The sequence below is a fragment of the Homo sapiens genome, chromosome 5 (genome assembly GCF_000001405.40).
Source record: "Homo sapiens chromosome 5, GRCh38.p14 Primary Assembly".
Lineage (NCBI taxonomy): Eukaryota > Metazoa > Chordata > Mammalia > Primates > Hominidae > Homo > Homo sapiens.
The window spans coordinates 127825159-127846202 of record NC_000005.10 but is presented as its reverse complement, the minus strand read 5'-3'; the positions used below and the strand labels follow the sequence as shown (position 1 = coordinate 127846202).

At 38.5% G+C, this 21044-nt stretch overlaps 1 protein-coding gene across 12 annotated transcripts in view; it reads right to left on the bottom strand.

The window, feature by feature from the left end:
• Window positions 1-21044, bottom strand: part of CCDC192 (coiled-coil domain containing 192) — a 239292-nt gene that overhangs the window by 95305 nt on the left and 122943 nt on the right. The window contains exon 6 of one of the 12 annotated variants that reach the window (XM_017009813.3): window positions 6612-7596. The exons of the other annotated variants lie outside the window; for them this stretch is intronic. Within the exon in view, the coding sequence (XP_016865302.2) occupies window positions 7588-7596 (9 nt within the window). The 3' untranslated portion in view covers window positions 6612-7587. Of the gene's footprint in view, window positions 1-6611; window positions 7597-21044 lie in introns of those variants that run through there. 12 annotated transcript variants of the gene reach the window in all.

The following is a 21044-nucleotide window of genomic DNA, read 5'->3' as shown; positions in this document are numbered from 1 at the left end:
ATTCTTCTGCCTTAGCCTCCCGAGTAGCTGGGACTACAGGCACGCACCACCACCACTGGCTAATTTTTGTATTTTTAATAGAGATGGGGTTTCACCATGTTGGCCAGGCTGGTCTCGAACTCCTGACCTCATGATCCACCTGCCTCAGCCTGCCAAAGTGCTGGGATTACAGGAGTGAGCCACCAAGCCCGGCCAAACAAATATTCTTTTATTATTGAATGCTACTTATCTAGGCCCTATTCTAGATTCAAGGGAGACCATTGCAGGAAAGACAAAGTGCTGGCTTTTATAAAGGTTACATTCTACTGAAAGTAGTTAGAATATTAATTTCAGGACAAATTTATGATACACAGGAATGATATCTTACTCCTTGGGTACAGTGAGGGACCATTAATATGTATAGCACATACATGTCCCTCTTGACTCAGCATAATTTTTTCATGCTAAAGTAAGAGTTATAGCTTTTTTTTTAAAATTGCATTCTGTTGTTTCTGTCTATCATCTATTTAAACCCAAGGTCTTGCTCGCAATAGAATCTTCATTTATGACAAAATTCACATGGGAAACTAGCAAATACCTTGAAATGATTTGCTTGATGACAAATTTTTCAGATAAATCAGTAAACTGTGTTTGTTTGTTTGTTTTTCCTCTGAGCCTCACTTGTCTTATTTGTTCACTAAGGGGCTTGCAAAATGATCTCAAATGCCACCTCCCTGAGCTCGGTCAAGTCTGTCCCATGTGGTTTCCTCGTCCTATTACTTCAACTCTCTCCTCAGTACTATTCACAGCTATAAATATGCTTAAGACTTTCCTTTCATACAAACAAATCAACAAAAGAACCACCTTCTTAGTGCACATGCCCCTCAAGCTCTCACCCTGTGCTCTCATTCGTGGCCACATGTCTTGAAAGGGCGGCCCACTCTCACTATTCCTACTAGCAGCATCCCAACTCACTCCCTGACTCTCCTCCAGACAGCTCCAGTCTCCATGACTGACATGGAGGCAAGAACATGGCTTCTTGGCTAATAACAGCCATTTATTAAAATAAAAACTGCATCTTTCTTGCTTTTCTTAGATGGTGGTATTTACTAGTTTTATTCCAAATGCTGCTTTTTCAAGTCCATCCAGCTCCTTCTTAGTATCTCAGGGTTATTTGTTCTTCCACACATGACCCTTCTTAAGAACAGAGACTAGCAGTGCAATCTTGCTATCTTCAAAGAACCACAAAGAGAAGGGTGGCGCCCTTTGGTTTAAAAAATAATAAACAAATAACAAAAGTCAATTCCGCTGAAATGGTGGCACAAGGCCCTGTGAGGCTTCAGACATTATTTCCTCCTCCTGTCTTCCCAGGGTTTCTTGGTATTTTAGGGACACCTGCTGACGGTGTCAGCTGCCAGAATATTGCTGGCACCACATGGTACGAAACAACAAAAGAGCAAAGACAGGGCACTGTTGGCTGGGCTGCTCGGCAGGCTGCCACTGTGAATGCACAAAGAGCAGCCACACCATCCACATCCTGCTGCGTCCCCAAAATATCTCACTCATCCGCCACACAGCCCTGTCTCCTCACCCTTTGTCTCTGCTAGAGGGAAATCCAGCCTAGTGCTGGATGAGAAAGATTCACCGGGTCGCTCAGAGTGACCTGGGCAGGAGCAGACACCCTCACAAGGCAGGGGTGAGCATACCAAAGAAAAATTGCTTAAGTTAAACCAAACCCTGAATCTGTCTAGAACTCGGGCTCTATTCTACTCAGCTCTGTTATTGTGATGGTTGGCTTTGTAGTCTTTGTCAAATCCATTTCTGAAATCACCTGTCTTACCCATCACAATATCTTTCAACTAAATTGTCTCTAAATCCTGTTGCCTCATTAACAAGTTTAATCTACTTTGAAAATTAGACTTTGAGGCAAACAGGGATGAAATGATTAAGCTAGCACAGCTTCAGGTATAAATTTTCACTATGAGAAATGTATTCATTGCCTGCTGCAGGATCTGTCAAAGCACATATTCAATTACTGATGGCTTGCAAGATTTTTCCTGTCTTATGAGATGCCATGGAACAGGGCAAGAAGAAAGACACAAAAATGGGGCCATAAAGGCAAAGAAATATACACTGGCAGACTCTTGAAAAGGGATGATGTTGTTTATTTTACGTTTTTTATAGGGATGGGTTCAACACAAATTAAAATCTATAAAAATAGCTGGTCCATATAATGTCTGATAACCCAGGAATGCACACCTTTCTAATGTGCTAATATAAAGAAGATTAAAACAGTTAAACTAGAATATGGTTTTACATTTGTTTAAGCTACTTTTTTCCCTTCTTACATCACATAGAATGTTATCAAAGCTGATGGCATGAAGGAAGGGGAAAAGAAAGAAATCGCCTACATGAAAACCTGCAGACCTTGGGTAGGATCTGGTAATGTATTTCTTGCCTCTGGCTAAGTCAAGAGTTATTCTTGGGGCTGGGCGAGGTGGCTCATGCCTATAATTCTAGCACTTTGGGAGGGCCAGGCAGGCGGATCACCTGAGGTCAGGAGTTCGAGACCAGCCCGGCCAATATGAGGAAATCCCGTCTTTACTAAAAATACAAAAGTTAGCCAGGCATGGTAGTGCATGCCTGTAATACCAGCTACTCGGGAGGCTGAGGCAGGAGAAGCACTTGAACCCGGGAGGTAGAGGTTGTAGTAAGCCAAGATCACACCACTGCACTCCAGCCTGGGCGACTGAGCAAGATTCCGTCTCAAAAAAAAAAAAAAGAGTTATTCTTGGATAATTACTGTGTAAATGATAATAAAATCAACAACGGCTTAAATCCCTGGCAAAAAATTGAAGTCACTAAGAGATTAAAAAAAAAACTTTTGGCTGGCTGCGATGGCTCACGCCTGTAATCCCAGCACTTTGGGAGGCTGAGGCGGGTGGATTACGAGGTCAGGAGATCGAGACCATCCGGGGTAACATGGTGAAACCTCGTCTCTACTAAAAATACAAAAAAAAAATTAGCCGGGCATGGTGGCGGGCACCTGTAATCCCAGCTACTCGGGAGGCTGAGGCAGAAGAATGGTGAGAATCCAGGAGGCAGAGCTTGCAGTGAGCCAAGATCGTGCCACTGCACTCCAGCCTGGGCAACTGAGCAAGACTCCATCTCAAAAAAAAAAAAAAAAAAAAAAACTTGACTAAAATACAGCCCAGGAAATTAAGGTGATGAAGCAGAAAGTGTACACTATCACAGATGCCATGAAACTCCAATTCCTTGCACTTTTCGCCATAGGCAGTATGTCCAGGAAGGCTGCTCCCAACAGGCCCTGTATAGTGGAAGTTGTGACAGTCTCTATTTCCATTTTCATTTCTTTTGATTGTTTCCTCATCCAGAGAATTAGGGGATTAGCCAGGTTGCATCTAAGACATCATAGCTCTGAGTTCTAAGATTCTAGTATAATCATTGAGGCAATCTAGAGGGGTGAACATGTTGGCCAACTCTAGACCAGTTAGCTTGCAGATGTGTAGCATTCACTACATTTCAAAAGTTTCAATTAGTTGCCAATATTTAAAAATTGGAATATTTTGTAGAAAATTACACATGTATAACTGCTTTTGAAAGTAGGACTGGCTACATCGCTTTTGAAATCCAGTGCAAAATGAAAAGTCCAGGTACCTTTTGTTCAAAAATTATTAAGAATTTTGGCCGGGCACAGTAGCTCATGCCTGTAATCCCAGCACTTTGGAAGGCCAAGGTGGGAGGATTGCTTGAGCCCAGGATGTCAAGATCAGCCTGGGGAAGATGGCAAGACCACATCTTTACAAACAATTTAAATATTAGCTGGGCATGGTGGTTCACACCTGTCATCCCAGCTACTTCGAGGCTGAGGCTCCTAGGAGGATCCCTTGAAAACAGGAAGTTGAGTTAGCAGTGAGCTATGATAGTACTGCTGTACTCCAAGCTAAGCCGCAAAGTGAGACCTGTCTCTAGAAAAATTAAAAATACTAATAATAAAAAAGAATTTCAAGATGGGGATAGCAGAGCATCAAACCAGGTGTGGGTCCTTCTGAGTGCTGGCCCTGGGGCACTGCAGGGAATGCATGCCCTTGAAGCCAGCCCTGCTAGAAAATTCAGAGGAGCTGGCACCTCCGCCCATTTTCCTTACAAAAAGCAATGGGAGCTAAGTGGTGGCTCCCCCTTTAAAACAGAGCCTGTCTTCTCTGGGTCAACACAGCCTCTGTCACTCCCTTTTCTGTCCTCATTGAGGCCAAGCAATAGTCAACATTCATCATTGCACTTGCTCAGTGGATTTTTCACTGCAGCTTCACTGAACTCATTTACACAACCTGCCTGGCCCCTGTAGAAACAAGAGCTGTTCCCTCTGGTCCAAACATTAAAACTGCCCCCATACCAAGGCATGCTTACTGATCACTCGTTGGGCTGGTGACCCAAGGCTTGGGTCATGGCTCATGACCATGGGAGCCACCCATACACACGTTGGACAACTCCGTTTGTTCTAAGACAGTGTAGTCAAGGGTGAGTATATGTTAAGAAGCAGCTCAGCATGGACCACAGGGCCTCCCCACTCCAGGACCTCAACATGCCTTTCTTGCTCCAGAGGGGTTACATGGAATAATGCAGACTAGGAGACAGATGAAGCCTCTTTCATTCTAGTATTCAAAGAAATCTACCATTTTATGAAAACTTGAAAGATTGTGTTCTAAAATGAAAACCAAGATTAAAAAAAAATTGGCAAACACAGATGCTAGTTTAAAAAATCACTCCTTGTTTGCAAATCAACACCCACACAAAATGTTGAACATCAGTCATTCCCTTCAACCCCATCTGGTGCACATTGATGAATCTTTCCCCTGAGAGAAAGTAATGCACTTTGGGAACTCAGAGGACAAATCTGAAGGGCTCAGCTCTTCCAGGTTATAATATACTCCGAAATTATGTGCTTTGTTCTCTTGAGCCTCAAAATTCACCATAAGCTAAAAGTGTATTTCGGACTCCACTATACTGTTGCTCCACATCCTAATACTAATTTGCCTCTTAAGGGCACATACAAACTGAAGAAATGTCTTTCTGCTAACAGTTCCTTTTCCTCTTTGTTTGACATGATGTTGTTCCTGGCACTGTAAAGTATTTCAATTTTTGGGACCATTTCCAGGTCACATCTTATTTCTATACAAGATTTGTTCTATACAAAACCTGAAAAGGCTCAAAGGTCAGGGTTCTGGTTGACTTGTTTTGCCAGATTTCTCCCACTTGGTCAACATTTTTACTTCACTTCCTAGCTGAAGCCTGTGCCAGTGCTTTTACATTCATCAAACTTAAAAACCCACATGGTAAATATTTGGTAGAAACTTTATATGTGAGTAATTAAAAACATGATAGATTTAACCCTTAAGTGAGCAATATGATGAAACGTATTGCTTTTTATTGCTTCTAGTAACTCTTTCTCTTTCACTAGTCTTGCTCTTAAACCTAGATAATGATGAATATTTTACATTTAGTCGTAATAGGTCTTTTTCAAAAAGTGCTTAACTTCCTGGAGTCTTACTGCAGCTCAAAAAAATGTGAAATAATTTAACAATTTAATAAATTAATTAATAATTTAATAAAATAATTTTACCACACCTTCATTTTTGTACTTGTCTTTATTCTGTTCTATTGACATTTATGTATACCATTATAGGCACATACATTGCATGTTTTCCTATATGTATGTCTTTATTTTGTTTACTTGTTTGGAATGTTCTAAGAAAAAAGACTGCAAATGTGCTTTTTTTCTTTGAAGCTTTATTTCTACTCCACCCATGCAACTACAGGGCTCTGTGTGTCCTGTGGTTACTCAATAAATATTAGGGATACAGAGATAATTTGACGATTATAAAACTTAAGCCAACCTCAAACTTTCTTCACTTCCTCTTTTTCTTTCTCAGCCTTATACATTTAACTTCTTACCCAGTTATTTAAGAATGTCAAGTCCAAGAATCCTATGTAATGTTGCTTTCTAAAACAATGGCTGTATTTTCTACTTGTGGCTCTCATTCCTAGCCAGCAAGGGTAGGGGACTCTGGCTTCAGGTTTTCATGACAGCCACCCTCAGACCTCTCAAATTGAAACATCAACCTTCACCCTCAGGGTCTTTGCTAGCCATCCTAAGTGAGTCTGCAATAATGGCTCACATTTGTTAAGTGTTTATTAAGTGTCATATGCTCTTCTGAGAACTTTACATAGATTGTTTTATTTAATTCTCATGAAACTTTATGAAGTAGGTGCAAATATTACCATAGTTCTTTGAGGCTCTGATGCATTTTTTTTCAAATCTCTGAAATAAGAATTTGCCTTAAGATGGAGTATTGGCAGTATTTTTAAAAACTCTTATTTGTACATAAAAGGATCATATATATATATATATCTTACAATCCATAGACTCTTAGTGTGATGAAATACAGTATCCCTATTCAATCGGCAAGGATACACAGCTCAGAGAAGTTAACCTAAGGTCACGAGGCTGTACAGTCATTCCAGAGCCCAGTCCCTTGACCACTTCCCTGCAATGTTGTGTAATGGTACTTGCCACTTTTCTCCATAATTATATCTTTATAAAAATATTCAAATTTATTATTTTAAAAACCAATGATTATTTTTATTTTGTGATTTAAAAGTTGACCTGTATTCATTATAAAAACTTTAAAAATAGAAAATTTAAGAAAGAATTATAAATCACCTGAAATTCTACTAAGATTACTATTGCTAACATTTTGGTATATTTTCTTCCTGGCTTTTGTTTTCTTATGTACATTAAAACATACTTTATAACATTTGTAGCATACTAATACATATAACATTTGTAGTGATGTGGTTATGTATTCCTCTCTTTTCACTTAACACTGAATGATGACCATTTCCCCTTGCTATTATATGTTCTGTGATAACATGACTTTGAATGGTCATCTACTTCCTCTTGTGGAGTTGTACTGTAATTTAACACTTAGTTTGTTTCCAGTTTTTCACCTTAAGCACTTGTAATAGGTAGCCTTATTATTGCCTTAGCATTCCAAGAACTGTTTATACTTATTTTTAAGTTATCAGGCCTTTCTCAGTTTATCAAGAGAATTAAGAGTGTATACCTTCCATATGGAGGAAGACCTGTATGTCTTAAGTGTCTGAAAAATCCAGGGTTCAGGTGAAAACCATTTACCTAAAGAGAATAACAGCTTCCTGTGGAGCTGCTACTTGGCATTGTTCAGCCTCCTTGGGAGGGGATGTAATCTCACGGGAAGAGGCCCAGGCTGTCAGTGTGTTTGAGGCTGAGTCACCCCAGCGACAGTCTTTGCTGCCTACCAGTTCTGGTCACACCACTGAAGTACAGACTACACACAGGATGCTGCTTTCACAGTGTTGAGGAGAGAGTGTGGGATACACAGGAAGAGTGAATATGGAAATTGGGGTCTAGGCAATCTGATGTGTACATTTTTAGCGCTCTTGATCTTCTGAGCCTCATTTTCTTTTTCACCTCTTCTCAGTACTGGCAACAAGGAGGTGAAATGTACAAGTAACCATCGTAGCAGAACTCAGTCTTTAAAAAAGGTTTCAGTGGACCTAAGAAAAGGAAGTTTTAAGAGAGACCATGGGAAGACTGCACATTCTTGACAACCCATCCACCTATCCTGAGAAAGACATTCTGTACCTATTCCACCTTCAGAAAATAAACACTGTCAATTGTGGCTTTTATTTCCTGAGTACATACATGTTTACTAATATAATTAAAATGCATCTTGAAAATTAATGTCCCCTGAAGACGAAGAGGTATTATTTTCTCAGTATCACCAATTAAAAGTCTTTAATAACATCTTTCCATTTTCAGTTGAACAATTTAGAACTCTTTAAGTGACCATGACTATAATTTTCTCTAAGTGAAACAAAAATACATTATTCTTGTTATGTCCTTATTAATACTCACGCCAACTATATGTGACATTGTGCTAGGTGCTGTAGAAACTAGGCTTCTTGCTTTCCCAGAGGCTACAAAGTGAGGCAAAGTTTGAAGGCATTGTAGGAGTCAGGGAGATGAAAGAAGACTGAACAGGATTGCTTACCCATGCGGGGTTGAGAATTGGGTAGATAACGTCTCTTTGCATAACCAATACTTAATAGAGAGTTCACATTTCAGAATCTATGTTATGGAATCTGGCCTAATTCTTTTCTTTTTTTGAGATGGAGTCTTGCTCTATCACCAGGCTGGAGTGCTGGAGTGCAGTGGTGCAATCTCAGCTCACTGCAACCTCCGCCTCCTGGGTTCAAGCAATTCCCTTGCCTCAGCCTCCTGAGTAGCTGGGACTACAGGCGTGCACCACCATGCCTGGCTAATTTTTTGTATTTTACTAGAGATGAGGTTTCACCATGTTGGCCAGGATGGTCTCCATCTCCCGACCTCATGATCTGCCCACTTCGACCTCCCAAAGTGCTGGGATTACAGGTGTGAGCCACTGAATTAGCCAGAATCTGGTCTAATTCTTATTCATCAGTACAAAATAATGAAGATTTGTTTGGAGACAAATGGTGCCAATTTCCAGGTGGCTCTTGGCCATAGTGAAGTGTAATCCCTGTGCACAAAGTGTTTACATTCTGATATGGTTAGGCTTTTTGTCCCCACTAAATCTCATATTGAATCATAATCCCCAGGTGTTGAGGGAGAGACCTAGTGGGAGGTGACTGGATCATGGGAGTCGTTTCCTCCATGCTATTCTTATGATAGTGAGTGAGTTCTCACAACATCTGATGGTTTTACAAACATCTGGCATTTACCCTGCTTGCACTTCTCTCTCACCTGCCACTATATAAGATGTGCCTGCTTCCTCTTCCACCATGATTGTAAGTTTCCTGAGGCCTCCCCAGCCATGTAGAACTGTGAGTCAATTAAACCTGTTTTCTTTATAAGTTATCCAGTCTTGTGTATGTGTTTATAGCAGTGTGAAAAAGGACTAATACAGTAATTTGGTATCTCAGAGAGTAGTGTACTATGATAAAGATACCCAAAAATGTAGAGGCAATGGGAAATGAAACAAATGTACTCTTGTTATGCTTAGCAAAGAGACTGGTGGCATTTTACCCCTGTCCTAGAGATCTGTGGAACTTTCAACTTGAGAGAGATGATCTGAAATTGGAACTTATGTTTAAAAGGAAAGCAGAGTATAAAGGTTTAGAATATTTGCAGCATGACCATATAGTAGAAAAGAAAAGCCCACTTTCTGAGGAGGAATTTAATAAGTTGCAGAAAGTTGCATAAGTAACAAGAAGCCAAATGTTAATTACCAAGGCAATGGGGAAAATGTCTCCAGGGCATGTCAGAGACCTTCATAGCAGCCCCTGCCATCACAGACCCAAGGCCTAGGAGGGAAAACTGGTTTTGTGGGCCTGGTCCAGGGGCCCTCTGCTGCTCTATGCAGCCTTGGGACTTGGTGCCCTGCATCCCAAAAGTAGCTAAAAGGGGCCAACATACAGCTAAGGCCATTGCTTCAGTGGGTCCTATCCCCAAGCCTTGGTGGCTTACACATGGTGTTGAGCCTGCAGGTGCACAGCAGTCAAAAATTAAGGTTTGGGAACTTCTGCTTAGATTTCAGAGGAGGTATGAAAATGCCTGGATGTCCAGGCAGAAGTCTGTTTCAGGGGTGAAGTCCTTGTGGAGAATCTCTGCTAGGGCAGTGCAAAGGGGAAATGTGGGATTGGAGCCCCCATACAGAGTCCCCACTGGGGCACTGCCTAGTGGAGCTGTGAGAAGAGGGCCACCAGACCCCAGAACACTAGATCCACTGACAGCTTGCACCATGCACCTGGAAAAGCTACAGACACTCAAGGCCAGCCTATGAAAGCAGCTGGGGCAGGGAAGCTGTACCCTGCAAAGCCACAGGGGTGGAGCTGCCCAATGCCATGGGAGCCCACCTCTTGTATCAGTGTGGCGTGGATGTGAGACATGGAGTCAAAGAAGATCATTTTGGAGCTTTAAGATTTGACTGCCCTGCTGGATTTTGGACTTGCATGGGGCATGTAACCTCTTCATTCTGGCCAATTTCTCCCATTTGGAATGGGAGCATTTATCCAATGCCTGTAGCCCTATTGTATCTTGGAAGTAACTAACTTGCTTTTGATTTTACAGGTTCTTAGGCATAAGGGACTTGCCTTATTTAAGGTGAAACTTGAGACTTGGACTTTTGACTTAGTGCTGAAATTAGTTAAGACTTTGAGGGACTGTTGGGAAGGCATGATTGGTTTTGAAATGTGAGGACATGAAATTTGGGAGGGGCTAGGATTGGAATGATATGGTTAGGCTTTGTCTCTCCACCGAAATCTCATCTTGAATTGTAATCCCCAGGTGTTGAGGAAGAGACCTGGTGGGAGGTGATTTGATCATGGGGGCGGTTTCTCCCATGCTATTCTTGTGATAGTGAGTGAGTTCTCACAAGATCTGATGGTTTTATAAGGGACTCTTCCCTCTTCACTTCACACACACTTTCTCTCTTGCCTGCCACCATGAAAGACATGCTTGCTTCCCCTTCCACCATGATTCTAAGTTTCCTGAGGCCTCCCCAGCCATGCAGAACTGTGAGTCAATTAAACCTCTTTCCTTTATAAATTACCCAGTGATGAGTATGTCTTTACAGTAGTGTGAAAACAAACCTACGCACATTCTAATAGAGGGAGAGAGATATTTCCAGAATCACCATTAAACCAAAGTGCCATTTGAGGAGGGCCAAAAGAGACATCCAGCATGCAAAGGAAGAAAACACTGTGTGCATCCTCAGAGAAGACTGTGAAAGTTGATTAGGAATTTAGAAACTGGGCAAAAGGAACATGCTGAGAAAAGTGAAAAATATCAGAGTGAATTTGGGAAATCTTTCAGATTTTGTGCTGACTGCTGAACCATATGGAGTGTTTCCTGATGTGTAAACTGAACCAATTTTATCCTTAATATTTTAATTTCAATAAATATAACATTTATTTGAGAATGTAAATTTCCTGTAAAATTTGATGCAGTTTATCAATACCTAACACATACCATAGAACCACATAGAAAGAACTTTAGTTTAAATAATTTTCTTTTCATCCTGCCTTTTAGCTTAAATAGGATTTAAAGACATGATCATTACTTTTATTTCTTTTCTCAAGTTGCATATGCTTTCTGAGACAGTTGATAGACTGGCTGAAGAGAAAGAAAATGTTTTGGAACCATTTCATTTTAATATTTTCATGTCAAGTTTACTAATAACTTAAAAATCTGCTTTTCTCTGCTTTGTAAAAGAAAAAAATATGTATATATATACACACTGGCCCATTTGTGCTACTGGCACACTTAACAACACACTGGGCCCTTTTTATTATTGCACAATCACATATTCTTCACTCATTAGATGATAATGTTTTTGCAGATTCAAGACACAGCTGTTTTACTATTCGCTAGAGAGTTTAACAATTAGCAGCTGACCCTTGGGGAAGGTATTGTTTGACTGCGCCCGGGAGATTAGTGTTTGCACGCAACAGTTGCTCCCTTTAAAAAATTCTGCTGGTGAGAATTTTGGCTTATTTTTCAACTTGAAATTCTTGCCTGCAAAGATACTATGAATATCGCATGTAATACTATAAAACACATTTGTATGTCTTCTAAAGTTTGTCTAAGCACTATAATTGATATTAAAGTTTTGCTTTTGTTATTTTTCCTCCACTCATCTTAGGTTCATTGGTTGGGGCCCTATAAATTAGACTGACAAGAGACAGATTAACGAGAAAAGCAGAAGTTTATTTACATGTCCATCTGTACACCGTGCATGGGAGTATTCAGTTGATGAGTAACTCAAAGGAGTGGTTAGAATTTCAGCTTGTATAGTTTAACAAAAGAACAATACATTTTTTAGACAAGTGATGAGACAAAGGGAAAGGACTTTGAGTTTCTAGGGCAACAAATTGTGGGAAGGTTAATATATGGGGGAACTAATGAAAGATATGGGCTGGTCAGTAATCTGTTTTGTAGATTCCTCTAGTGCCATCTCTGGGCTGATAAGGGTCTAGGTACATCTCTGGTGATTAACTTCTGTTATTTGGGCAGAGAGGGGAGTAAGAACACCTTTACCAATTTATGTCCTGCTTTTAGACAAATAGGAAGAGGGAAGAGAGGCTTTTTTGTAGCTCAATTGCCCTCAGCTCAAAATAATTCTTATGTCAAAGTGGCATATTTTGGGATGGCATATTCTCTTACCTTTCATCATTATGATTTCCATTTTCTTAAGCTGATCTCTAATTGTCACTTAATTGTGGATGCATGGTAAACATTGTGTACGTTTTCTGGTGTATGATAGAAGAGAAATTTTCAAGTTCTCTGTCTTGATTAAAAATTGAGACATTTTCTGAGACAGAAAATTTAACTGAATTGTTTTTTATACAGCTTACTGTAACACTTATTGCTAACTGCAGTGATCTGATCTTGCAAATCTAGAAAATATAGGTTTTCTATTCATAGGTTTATTAATTCTAGGAGCACAAACAGGTCATCTGCAAAGAAATACTAGCTTTCAACCACAGGTACCCCCTGAATATTAACAGAAATACAGCTTTGCTTTGGTAAAGAAAACAAACAAAAATATTATCCTTCTACCTAAACAACCATTCAAATAATATGAAGCAATTGCTATATGTATGATGGCATGTAGTATAAGGAGGATACATGGAACATAATGTCCTTGCTCTCAAGGAGTTTACTATTTTATATTTATAATGTAATATAAACAGAGACCAGAAGAGATCATTCAAAGAAGTTCAAATCAGTATTTATTTAGTGAGCTCTGCATGTGCCCACCATTGGACAATAGGACAGTGAATTAAAAGCCTAAATAATTTTGAAAGTGATGAACATGTAAAATAATTCTGACAAGATGCAATTTTAATAAAATAATTCAAACAATAAAAATGATAGAGTAGAGGTATAAATTATATGCCATAGGAGAATTAATTAGCTGATTATCTATTATCAACCCATTAGTGAAAAAGAACAAGGCAGGACTGCGAAATGAGAAAGAAGGAGTTATAAGAATGTTAACACTTGAGTTTTGCTCCAATCTATATTTTCTGAATAAGAGCTACACAGACAATAACCTAAGAATAAGATCATCTTTTACAAGAGGGCTAAGCCTTTTAATGTGGCCACGATTAAATTTTTCCCTCAAATTCTATCAGCCTGCAGAATAACTCCTTTCTTTGGCTTAGAGGAGAATATTATAATTGCTTGAAAAGGTTAGCTATTCTGGCTACAGTTTCAATATTTAGGAGATTGAAGCCCCAAGATAACCCACAGTAGACAGGACTTGCTGACACATGTAACATAATTTAAAGATGCCCATGCTCCAGGGAATTTTTATTTTGTTTGGTTTTTAGCTAGATGTGAACATGAACAAGATATAAATATATAGTTTGGGTTTTGGTGATTTGGTTCAGCTCTTATTGGTAACTTATATATTAAATATACATGTATGCATGTGTGTGTGTCATATTTATTTACTAAGTTTGATATCTACTTTGTTCTAATCCCCAGTTCTGTTTTCCCTTTTATTCCCCCCAGAGGCAATCACTATTCTGAATTTTGTAATTTTTTCTGTGTTTTTGAAAAAAGTTGTTACTCTATTTTTTTCCACTGATTCTTTTACATATGCCTTTATCACAGGCGTGTTTTATGCCCTTATCATATATCTTTAAAAATTTTCACATTAATGCGATTATACTGTCTAGATCATTTTGCAGCGATTCTTCTGGTGCAGGAGTTTCTTCAGGTTACATACACAGAAGTGGGATTGCACAGATAGAGGACACATGCATTTTCATCCGAATCCGAGTTTGCCTCATGGCTCTAGAGTGATTCCGCCAGTGTAAACTCTTACCAGCATTTTGCAAGACTTCCTATTTTTCACTTCTTCTCTAGTATTGAAGCCTCTTCTATTTTATCCAATCAGATGAGTGTGAAATTGTACCTCACTGTACTAATTTCTGCTTTCCTGAATACTGGTGAGATTAAAGATATTTTCATGTATTTACTAGCTATTCAGTTTTATTTGTAACTTTTGCTTTCTCATAACTTTGGTTATTTTTCTACTGGGTTGTTCTTTTTCTTTTTCTTTTTTAAAAATTGATTTGCCAGGGTTCATATTTTTTTCTATTCCTTTAATTATTTAATTCCTTCTATTTATTTGAATTTACTATGCTATTTTTATCTTGCATTTTTAAATTAGCAATTTAACTTATTTACAGTTTTAAAAAACTTGCAATTAATGTTTTGATTTTCCTTGTATCAAATTAAATTTTATTTCACAAGATTTTTTGACATAATATTCTTATTATGTACTTTTTCTAAGTTTTCATAATGTGAATTGTAATATTTAAAGATCATATGTTAATCAGGAGTATGTGTGTACATATGTGTGTATGTATACTTTCAAGTGTATTTTTAATTATGTTTATATTAATGAATTTGAATATGCTATAATAGTTGAATTTCTATCATTAGAGATTACCTTTATGTATTCATTTTGTTTATTTCCAAGACTTTAAATAAGTATGTCATAACCAGTGATTAATACCTCCATAAGTTGTTTCCTTATCGGCATTATGTGATTATTTTCTAATAAGAACTACTTAAAAAACACACACACACAATATAGGCATTGAATTTTGTTGGGAAGAAAGTAATGTGAGAAAGCTCAGACTATAAAAATGCCCAATATGCAACATGGGTTGTTAATTCAATGACTGGAGATGTGCATGCACACACACAGATGCACACACACACACGCACACATATACACACGCACACACACACACTTTTGAAGATTTTGAAGATTTTAAAGCACAATTTATTCTTCTGATGATTACAGACTTGATTTTAAATGTTTAATTTTTACTACAATTAATGCCAAAATCTTATGAACTTAAAAAATATAGCTTTTCTTGATTTTTAATAGGATAAGAATACAAAATCTTCAAGATAGAAGACACAGTTTTTAAGGAGAAAAATTTGTTTTTAGGGCTTAACCTCCTAACTCAACTGGAATTAGAATGTCTCCAGTACTTATTTACAGAAAACATGAGCTGAGCTGCAGCTTGTACAAATTTAGAAGTGTCATCCCTCAGAATTAACCATAAATAACTCGCCAGCCCTGGAGGTTTGCCTCTTTTCTAACTAAGCTTGCTAGGTGAGTTTGCTGAAAACAGAGCATTAACAGATACTCAGTTAGGATTTCCATAGGTTGCCAAAATATGTCCTTAAGATGTGGTTTAACATTCTGTGTTTAGATAAATTTAAATTTTTACTTTTTCATAAAGAAGAGTAGTTTTATTCGTTTTTTAGTTCATTTGTAGATTATAAAGTCACAGGGGTAGAAGGAAACTTTCCTGTTTTTTTTTTTTTCTCAAAAACCTTTAGCATTGTTCTTGATCTCCTGCATGCTAACTTGAGGCAAGAGAATGTTGTGGGCCAAATTGTGTCCCCCACCTCACAAATTCACATATTGATGTCCTATCCCTCTGTACCTCAGAATGTAACCATATTTGGACATAAAGTCTTTAAAGAAATATTTAAGTTAAAATGAGATCTTTAGAGTGGGCCCTAACCCAGTCTGACTGGTGTCCTTGTAAGAAGAGGAAATTTAGGCACTAGACATGCCCATGTACACAGGGAAGATCATATAAGGACGCAGCAAGAAGCCTGCAAGCCAAGGAGAGAGGCCAAAGCTCCTGGAAGCTTGATCATGGACTTCCAGCTTGCATAATGATAAGCAAATACATTTCCATTGTTTAAGTCACCCAGTCTGTGGCATGTTGTTATGGCAGCCCTCACAGACTAACACACAAGGTAGTCATTCCTTTTCTTCAGTCTCTACAAAAATAAATGGAAACCACTGATCTTAGAAGCCTGGTCAGGGCAAGAATGTATCTACCAAACTCTTGACTAAAAATCAACCAGAAAAAGACACACACGTGCTACAGGAATCCTTGATTTTTTTTTTGAGACTGCGAAAGGCATCTGTGTATTTTTTGCATGTGAGCCTTGCACTGTTTTTCCCCCTTTGCTATATAAGGTGTATCATGACCTGACAATGTAGACTGTTTTAAAAACAGTTCTAAGTCTTAGAAAATAAATTTAGAATGAATATAAAGTAGGTACTAAATATGAGTTCATGTTTTATTTTTCATTCCATTTCACAATGCAAATTTTTGGGAAAATGGATAATTTACTAAAAAATAGAGTACATTTTTTCCTTCATGACTCTACTCAAGCCACCGGTATGTTATTCTCATTTGTTAAAGATCCTTTGTCTGTGTTTGTGTTGTTATTAGTAACAGTTGTGGGGGCTACAGTTGGGGAAAGATACTGCCACGTCCTTGAGCTGTATTTAATTGACTCCATAAAAATCAACAAAGACACAAAAACACTAATTCTGGAAATTAGTAAACTGAGAATTAAGTAACCTTTAAAAAAATAGACCAATAAAAGCCCACTAAGATGTTGTACTTCTTCATGCATCTAATTTTCTTTGCAAATATTTTATGAGATTGGAACTATTTCATTTTTTGTATATTAAAACTATATTTCATGGTGTAGGTGTTCTTCACCTAGCTCCTCCTATAGCAATTTCTTTTATTCCCTGCTATTCTTTTCTCTTTGATTCCCAGGAATAATGTTAAAAATAAACAAGCTCATTAGAAATTATAGTGCTGTCATAGATATTTGAAAGACAAAGGTGGGAGATGATATTTTCCCCTTTGAAGATTCCAAAGGATGTTTATAATTACCAAAAAACAATTCTAGGAAAACATATAAAAGAGGATCTAAATTTCCCATTTGTTTCCTTGACTTGTATTTAAAACAGTTTCCAATCCTGTTTGCAATTTCTTTTTCAGATCTGCATTTTCAACTTACTCTTGACCACCACATGTACTTAGATATTCCAAAAGGCAGTGTGTTCAAAATCAAATTCAGCCTACTCCCCAGCCTGCTCCTCAACAGACTCCCCCCTCTCCATGACTGCTGCCACCTTCCACTCTCTGGCCCAAGCTCTTGGAGCAGCATACCGGGTTCTCCCTCTAGACATCTCCCATCTCTCACCATCCCACCCATTATGGCTTCCGTGTCTATCCTCATTACCTCTTTCCAAAGGAGAGCCAATATCTGCCCCCAACCAGGTTTGCTGCAGTAGCTAACCTTGGCCCATGCTCTCCAATCCTCTCTCCACATTGCTCCCAGTCTGTTTCTATAATATAAATCTGACTATATCTAAAATCACCTGATGGCTACCAACTGCTCTTGGCAATGCCTACCTCCTTACCCTTATTTCTGGACAACTTTCTGTTCCAAGAAATGCCCTTATTCCTTTTCAAGGGACTAAATATAATACCCTTCTCCTTGATGTTCTCACCTCTATTCCTATGGACACTTCATATTTCCACTTACATTTCATTTCTTCTGAGAGACCTCCCCACCTACTCTCAGGCTCAATTAGGGGCTATTCCCAGATGTTGTCACAAAGATGCATATTTACCCTGTCTTAGCATGCTACACTCTGCCTTACAAATGTCTGTTAATTTAATGATGTCCTCCACTGGTCTGAAAGTACCAGAAGAGACACAGGCAATCATCTTCATGTTGTTTGTCACTATGTGTGCACAGAGCCTGGCTCATAACAGATGATGACTAAGTATTTATTAAATGAACAGGAAAACAGTAATTGGCAAACAAAGATCATACTACTTCTAATGAACCTCTTTTGTCTTTTTGTTAGTAGTCTACCAGATGACTCTAAAGGTGTGATGCATTTTTCCCTAGGGTTTCTAATTACTCAGGAGAAGCTTAACCTTTTCTCGAGACCACATATATAGAACTTGAAGGATGCTTTAAATTTCTTGAAATGATTGGGTGAAGACTGAAAAATGAATCGTGGAGTCAAGTCTTCAAATTCTTAGCAAATTGCCAGGCGTGGTGGCTCATGCCTATAATCTCAGCACTTTGGGAAGCCGAGGTGGGCAGACCACCTGCGGTCAGGAGTTTGAGACCAGCCTGGCCAACATGGTGAAACCCTGTCTCTACTAAAAATATGAAAATTAGCCGGGCATGGTGGCAGGTGCCTGTAATCCCAGCTACTCAGGAGGCTGAGGCAGGAGAATCGCTTGAACCTGGGAGGCAGAGGTTGCAGTGAGCAGAGATCGCGCCACTGCACTCCAGTCTGGGCAACAAGAGTGAGCCTCAGTCTCAAAGGAAAAAAAAATTCTTAGCAAATAATGGGTAGGAAATTGCTGACCTTGGTGAAGGATTTTACATGGGTAGAGTTGAGGTATATGCCTCTCATTTTTCTGTCTAGGTACTGGTGAGACTGCGCCGGAGGAGTTGGAAGTTAGCATTTGACCAAATGATCAAGTTGAAGGGAAGCATTAGTTTATTGTTTTGACATTTATATGTTGGTCCAGTTATTTCAGGACAGCCCTTGCACATTGTACAGCTGTCTCTGGGCAGGGGAGAACTGCTGAATTAATGACAATAGACAGCACAAGGCGTTCTTCCGCAGACCACGCCCAATTCTTTTACACTAATTAAATATTTAAGAACAGATTGGTTCCGTATTTAAAGACACCATAAACCATGCCAGTATAAATTACAAGATCTTTAAAATCAGACATTTCCAAGGCTAATCATTCACCATTAGAATAATAAAAATAAGCTAATTTTCTAAACAACTGGGATCTGTTCTTTTTCTTTCAGGCTTTATTCCCGAAGGACACGGTGGATATTTTGTGTGGCCCAAGAAAAGCAAATGCTGGAAAAAAGCACTAGAAACTGCCCTTTGAAGTTTGCTACCAAGATCTAATATCTTGACAGACCAAATGGGTACTTGGTGCCTACTGAGAAGCCTTTACTCCCTTTACTCTTCCTCAGATCAATGAAGGACAAATTGACTTCTCTGAAAAAGGTTCGGCTTTTTGGGAATTTTCCCTACTTTGTGTAATTTTTTTATTCTGTAGAGCTGGCCCAGACAGCCCTACAAATGTCTCACTTCCACCACATTTGGGAACGCAGGCCTCTGTAGGTGACATAATTCATCCACTACACAAATCATGATCCATTCAGCATTTCCATATTATCTTCATTTGTCATATTTTAAAAATAAATATACACACAAGTTTTACTATTTGATTTCAAAATATCTGGAGAAAAGCACACTGATGAAAACATTGTTCCTCTTTTAAAAAATTACTCTATTAAACTTATCACCAAGGCATGGTCAGAACATTGGAGATGGAGAAGCTTGAGAGATGGTCTTTATTCTTGTTCTCCAGTAAAATGATTTCTTTCTTTTTAACAAATATTTTATTTTATTATTATTTTTTTCAACTTTTATTTTAGCTTGAGGGGGTACATGTGCAGGTTTGTTACCTGGGTATATTACGTGATGCTGAGGTTTGGGATATGAATGATCCCATCACTGAGCATAGTACCCAATAGTTTTTCAGCCCTTGCCCCCCTCCCTCCCTCTCCCATCTAGTAGCCTCCACTTCAAAGTGAGAACATGTGGTATTTGATTTTCTATTCCTGCATTAATTCACTTAGGATAATGGCCTCCAGCACATTTTCTTTATCCAATCCACTGTTGATGGGTTGATTCCATGTCTTTGCTATTGTGAATAGTGCTGTGATGAACCTACATGTTTTCTCAGTAGAAAGATTGGTTTTCTTTTGGATGTGTATACCCAATAACGGCACTGCTGGGTCAAATGGTAGCTCTGTTTTAAGTTCTTTGAGAAATCTCCAAACTGCTTTCCACAGAGGCCGAATGAATTTACATTTTCACTAACAGAGTATAAGTTTTCCTTTTCCTTTGCAGCCTCGCCAGCATCTGTTGTTTCTTTGACTTTTTAACCATAGCCATCCTGACTCGTGTGAGATGGTATCTCACTGTGGTTTTAATTTGCATTTCTCTGATATTAGTGATGTGGAACATTTTTTATGGTTCTAATCCATCTCTCTGATTCATTCCACCTTTCCAATTGAAAAAGAACCCAGTGACAACTTAGAAGAAAAAAATAAACAATTTGCAGTTTGAGCTTATACTATTAATGCTAATACTCATCAACCAAATATCCAAATAATGTTTAACCTAATGACCCTCAATAAATGGCCAAATAAATCTCAACAAATTAAATCAAAAATGATAAAGCTAAAGTAACATTCATTTATAATTTAAACCCAAAAAATGCAACAATTAAAAACCAAAAATCAACTACTTGTTCATGTTCATAGAAGTAGCTTGCTAGTACTGCCAAGCATTGCATTAAATATGGAATATCTTCTTACGGAATATCTTCTTCCTTAAATTTTAACAATGTGGCTAAGTTTAGTTGATGAGCCTCAAATATTAATAATCTACAATCATTCATCTTCTATTTAACTAGTAAAAATCTTTGGCCCTCCATAAAGTGAATGTATATAGATTGTATATAAAATGTACATCATTGGCTATAAATAAAAGGAAGAATGTATATGTTTGGAGCAGTTAGAGACCTGTCAGGAGGAACCTCCCAGAAGCACCTAGGGGTGTGGACCTTTCTGGAAAACCCAAGTGTCATGTCCAGGAGACAGCTTCAGCCACTCATGCCATGAATGGAGGGATATAAACCTCTAAGAACTGGAGAAATTCCTGATGGAGCAGAGTGGGCTGTCCTTGAAGTACTGGGATGCTGCTGAGAGGTTCCAGTCTTGCATCAACTTTGAACAAAATGGTCTCTAAGGCTCCTGCTGACCTGAAAGTCACCATTTATGACTGATGAGGAGATATTTCTACTCAGAGTTTTAGCTCTAAGTCATATTTCAAAAGTTGTACTCTTGATGATCTAAGACAGATACCACTAATACAACTTGTTAGCTTCTAGACTGTTTCTCTGAACTGTTACTCTATGCCATTGTGGATGATGTGCTTTTATATTAATGTGTTTTAATAGATTAGAAAATAAGTAAATGCTATTCT